This window comes from Homo sapiens, chromosome 2 (assembly GCF_000001405.40).
Source record: "Homo sapiens chromosome 2, GRCh38.p14 Primary Assembly".
In the NCBI taxonomy this organism is placed as follows: domain Eukaryota; kingdom Metazoa; phylum Chordata; class Mammalia; order Primates; family Hominidae; genus Homo; species Homo sapiens.
Genome location: NC_000002.12, coordinates 55,718,654 through 55,724,569, shown reverse-complemented (window position 1 = coordinate 55,724,569; position 5,916 = coordinate 55,718,654). Strand labels below are relative to the sequence as shown.

Sequence of the window (5,916 nt, the reverse complement as noted above, 5' to 3'; positions counted from 1 at the left end):
ATAAGACTTTCTGCATATTTGAAAAGGATGCAAAGCTATACATAAATATTGGTTATTATATTTATATACAGAGAGAGAGGCATATGTAATGTCTATTCTACACAACCTGAATTCAGTAGAGTGCAAGTATAAAGTATCCTTTTTTCCCCCAATTACTACCTTAACCATGCTCCACTGAACCTCCCTTTCTCACCGCTTAACAACATTCTGCGCAGCTCTCTCACAGCTTTGAAATGAAGAAGTCCAATCCTCCCTTCCTGTAGATAGCTCAGGCATTTGTGGCCAGGACCTGAAATGGAAAAGGAGTACAGTCTCCACCTTCATTCCCTCTTGAGTTGTGGGCTTTGGGGGTGGTGGCTTGTAGTAGATGCAGAGATAGAAAGGAACAGTGTCTCATTCAGTGCTGCAGCTGTGGTCTTCTCTTGGCTGGTGATGTCGATTAGTCTCTGTGTGGTGGGTGTCCCAACACTGGCTCTTCCATGGGCTACATTGGGGACTTGCAGGAGTCTCCCCAGGGCAGAGTTTCCTGCTGTGGGAGCACCCTCCACCCAGCTCCTCTACTACACCCTCAGTTGCTTCCCCTGGCATTCCCCCCAACTCCTTTTGAGTAGAGTACTGGCAGGTCAAATCAAGTCCGGCTACTTCCATGGTGGCTTCTTGACCCCTGGAATACCCATACAGCACTGTCATAGCACCAGATGGGTGCAGCCTGCTCCACTGCCTCACTTCTCTCTGCTTCATTATCTCAATTCTCCATTCCCTTACTCTCACAGGCACTGAGGTCAGATCAGCTGGTGTGAGCTAAGAAATAAGATGTCATTCTTCTCATTTAATCCCACTCTCTGTAGATGGTCCTCAGGGCACCCAGTCTTTGGCTTCAAAGCAGGAGCCACTGTACTTTTCACCAAAGACTTGACACTCTCATCACATGCCTGTCTTCCCTGTCTAGTCAAAAGTGTAGATGGATTGGGCATAAGAAGTGGTTGAGTCTCAGACGATGATTAGGGGAATGCCCAGTCAGTTTGCCTGACTCTTACTAAACCTGGAGGAGGTACTTGGCCTGCAATACTCAGAATGTGAGATTCTTGGTGCCTCTTTGTCCTTAGCTTTGGATCCAAGTCACCAATTGCCCACTCCACATTCTGAGACACATCTCAGAGAAAAGGAAGCTAGTGTGGTGAAAAGAACTGGATTCTTGCCTCTGCTCATCAGTGTCAGCTAGCACAGTACTACTATGGGAGTCTTTAATTCTCCATGTCCATAATATCTCATCTGTAAAATGAGAATACTATAATACTATTTACTTAACCAATCAACATCATACATACACAATGTGATACTATCCTAAATACATAAAATCATATTGATTTTATTTAATATTTAGGTTGTGTCTATAGAAGAGCATCCAGGAAAAAAAGTCAGTTATGCCAGTTTCTTAGCACAGATTTATAATGCTAGCTTGTCACATATTATGTAAGAGGTAATAAGAATATTCTGCGGATTAAATGTGATCATGCATGAGGAAGGCTTGGCATCGAGTAAGTGCTCAATTAATATTATCCATCATTATTATGTTTATCTCTGTGACCTTAGGTAAGTCATTTAAGTCCTCTGAGTCTCCACTTCCTCATTTTAAATTGAGGGTAATAATAGAGTTCTCAGGATTCTATGAAATCATGTTATCTGGAAGCAATTGTAAATTTCTTTGTAAATGTTAGATATTATCTATGAAACAAGGACAATGAACTTTTAAAGTATTTTCCTCTTCTAAAATGCTATGTGTTTACTAATTGGTGTTACAAAGAAAGAAAAGAAAAATGTTTCTTTTTCAGTAGAGTGTGTTGGAGTTATTAAAAGATAAAATCAGCAAACACTGCCTCATTTTATCCATGAACTCACAAATTTTCACAGATAGTAAGAGACTGGTCTTTCTTTCTACCATACTTTCAATTCTTATCTGTTCTCCAAGATGTTTTATGTCCTCAATGTATATACATTTCAAGCACCATCATATAACCTAAAACAGAAAGGAAATTATTTAAGATACAATGGAAAACTACAGAATCAATCAAAAAAACTTAGTTATAGGGGTTACTTATTCTAATTCTTGGCATCCAAGACCTTGGTGGAAAACTTTCTTTCATCCAACCTTTAAATATGAATATTAATCATATCACAAAGATATTAGCTCCATTTTGGAAATTCCAAATTTTACCATATTCCTTTCTTGTTGAATAAGGTATAGAGTATATTCAAAAACTAGGGTTTGGGTGGGTTCAGTGGCCCAGGCTTGTAATCCCAACATTTTGGGAGGCCAAGACTGGAGGATCACTTGATCCCAGGAGTTCAAGACAAGCCTGGGTAACATAGCAAGATCCGGTCTTTATTAATAAATAAATAAATATAAATAAGAAAAATTTTAAAGTTGACCATTTATAATTCTATATATGTAATGTGATACCAAGTGCTATTATGGTCTTTGAATGCATTGTGAAATAATTGAGTCAACCCAGCTAACATATACATCACCCCACATATTTAACATTTCTTGGGGTGAGATCATTTGCAATGTACACTGTTAGCAATTTTGAAATGTACAATGTTCTATTATTAACTATATTCATCATGATGCGCAATAGATCTCAAAAATAAACATATTCCTGCAGTGTAAAAAAGAAGAAAAAAGAATAACACACTACTGTTACAGGCAACAAAATGGATGAATAACTTTGAGTAAAAGAAGCCAAGCATAAACGGTTACAACACAGTGTATGGCTTCATTTGTAAAGGCTTAAAACCAGAAAAACGAGTCTCTGACGACAGAAGTCAGAATAAAGGTTTTCTTCCTGGGGTGATATCTGGAAAGGCATAGGGGGAGGGGCTTCTAAATACTGGGCATGTTCTATTTTTTTATCTTACTGTTGATTACATTAGGCCTATTTCATTTGTGAACATCCCTCAAAATGCTGATGATTTAAGCACTCTTTTGTATGTACACTATACATCAGTAAAAAGCTTACTTTATTAAAAAAAGAAAAAATTTAAAACTAAGGTTTGTTCTTAAAATAATCTATGTAATTTACATTCATTGGCTAGTCTGTCAAAAAATATCTTGACTACCTCAGCACAATGAAATTTGAAAGAAACATAAATCTAAGTTTCTATTGTCACAACATATCATAATTATTTATTGCAATCTTTACAAAATGGAAACAAACTCTACAATGTCTGCCCTTAAGAAATAAAGTAGTAGTTAATGTATTTTGGCTAGTAAAGACATTTAGACTCACAATTATTTCTAATTATTAAGCTTTGAAACGGGAGATTGTCTTGGAAACAATCAATTTTAAGTTTCAAAGTTAGTGCCTCAGTGCAAATTTAATTAGCAAGTGGCTCCATTTATCTATAAAGCAAAATATCTTTTGAACAACCTTCTCTACATATTTTTATGGACCTTTGCAGTTGAGAAGGGCTTTGTCATGCACTTTTTTATTTAATGTGTGAGATTCTTTGGGAGAGAAGCAGAGTAACTAAGGAAAATGACGCTCAGTCACTTGCTCGAGATCAGAGGAACTGGTAAAGCAAAAAGCGGGACGCGGTTTTCTTTAGTTCCAGAACAGGAATCCTTCCGCCATAACAGGCTGCTTCAGACATCCATGGAGTTATCTGAAATCCTGAGAGAACACCTCATCTATCCCCGGACATCCACCAGTTAAAATCACGCCCAAAATAAATAAATAATAAAATAAAATCATGTCCAGTGCGGAAAAAATGCTTACAAAATTCTTCATTTACTTATTCACTCATTCAAAAATGATTTGTTGCGGGCACTCTATGTGTCCAGCATTGTGCTGGCACTTGGCATCCGGTTGTGAGTAAATCAGACACAGCTCCTACTCTCCCAGAGCTTGCAGTTCAGCCACGGACAGAGACAACTCACACCATCACATAGGTAAATGTATAATTACAGACCATGAGGAACGCTGTCCAGAGTGAGCACAGCACGCTTTGAAAGCGTCTAGCAGGGAGACCTCACCTTATCTGAAGCATCCGGGTGGGCTGGGATGGGAGGAAAGGGTAGGGAAAGAAGGAGCAACCAAAGCCAGAGAAAGCCGTGCCCGGCCAAGAGAATCGCATCTAAAGAAGCCCTGAGGCAGCAAGGAAAATTGAACGTGAGTTATGATAGCAATTTTATATAAGCAGAGGGGGGAAAGTCTAGCAGGAAATACTCCAAAACATTAATGATGCTTTCTTCTGGAGAAGGACTGGTGATGTTCATTTCCTTGTTTATGCTTTATTGAATATTGCAGATTTTCTGCAATAAAAGTATAAGCTTTGTGATCTGGAGGGGAAAAGAATAAAAAATCTGGCTCAAAAGACCCCTGTGTGAGAAAAGGAGGGAAAATAGAACCCTCTCCCAACCACTCCAGATATCCAGGAGCTGGAGTGTGAAGCTGGAAGTAAACAGTACAAGAACATAATTCACTGTGATTATTTTTTATTTTTTATTTTTTTATTTTATTTTTATTATTTCATTTTATTTATTTATTTATTTATTTATTTATTTATTGCTTAGGCTGGAGCACAGTGGCAACAATCATAGCTCACTGCAGCCTTGAAAACCGGGGCCCAAGCAATGCTCCCATCTTGACCTCCCAATGTCCTGGGATTACAGGCATAAGCCACCAGTCCCAGCCCACTCTGACAATTTAAAAGGGTCCTGAATACTCAAAAGGTACAAAGCTTTGCAAGAAAGGGAACTAATGTGTATCTAGCCCTATCATGTGGCTAGAACTACCCTATAACTACAGCATTTCCTGGAACAGTAATATACAGATAATGGTGCCTTATTTCCACAATTTACCTTCTGATTGTATTCCTTTCTCTCACACTAACTCTGTTAGATGATTATTATCACCCATATTTTACAAATGAGAAAGAAAGTGAAATTTAAAGAGAGGTTAAGTAACTTGCTCACAGTCAGTCCTATTAGGCGGGAGAGCTGGGATTAAAAGAAAATCCCAGGCTAGGGTGCAATGGCACAATCTCGGCTCACTGCAACCTCCACCCCCTACCCCAATAGGTTCAAGCGATTCTCCTGCCTCAGCCTCCCAAGTAGCTGGGATTACAAGCACTTGCCATCATGCCTGGCTAATCTTTTATATTTTTAGTAGAGATGGGGTTTCACCATGTTGGCAAGGTTGGTCTCAAACTCCAGATCTCAGGTGATCCACCCACCTCGGCCTCCCAAAGTGCAAGGATTACAGGCGTGAACCACTGCACCTGGCCATAAATTCTTAACTGACTCTCATGGTGCCGTCTATATGTGAATGGTCTATGGACTGGTGCCCCTGCTGAGACTGGTGAAAGACAAGTTCTCTTTAGAAACTTGAAGCAGGTAGAAAACCACCTTGACCCTGACTGCCATTTGCCTAAGGGTCTGAGACCTAGCCTGGAGGGAGTCTGTTCCTGATTCTTAGAGAGGGCACCAACCGATAAAACCTGAGCTCTGATTGCCCAAAAGCAGTTTGCCCTGTAAAAACCAAGTATCTAGCTTAGTGGGTCTCAAACGGTAGCATTCATCAGAATCACTCAGAGAAATTGTTCAAATACAGACCAATAGGTCCACCCTCAGAAGTTCTAATTCAATAGGTCTGGGGTGGGGCCCAAGAATTTGCATTCTAACAAGTTCCCAGGTGATGCTGACGTTGCTTGGTGGGGGGGCTGCCACTTTGAGAACCATTCGCATAGTCTAATGTAAGGCAGGACTCACAAGAGTGTCAGCGCCTTGCACCACATTCTGAAACTGAGAGTTTATCTCACCCTGGCCAACCCACCCCACCTCCACCTTCTATAAAGTGGTTCTAGAGTAGGTAAATAATGGAGAAGAAACCGTGCCTCTCAAACCTGCGATGA

At 39.8% G+C, this 5,916-nt stretch overlaps 1 annotated feature.

The window, feature by feature from the left end:
- Positions 495–996: an enhancer, noted in NCBI's record as "H3K27ac hESC enhancer chr2:55950709-55951210 (GRCh37/hg19 assembly coordinates)". NCBI's record gives its function as "activates a minimal SCP1, AML or CMV promoter by ChIP-STARR-seq in naive H9 embryonic stem cells {active_cell/tissue: H9 hESC(naive)}" and the evidence as "EXISTENCE:reporter gene assay evidence [ECO:0000049][PMID:30033119]".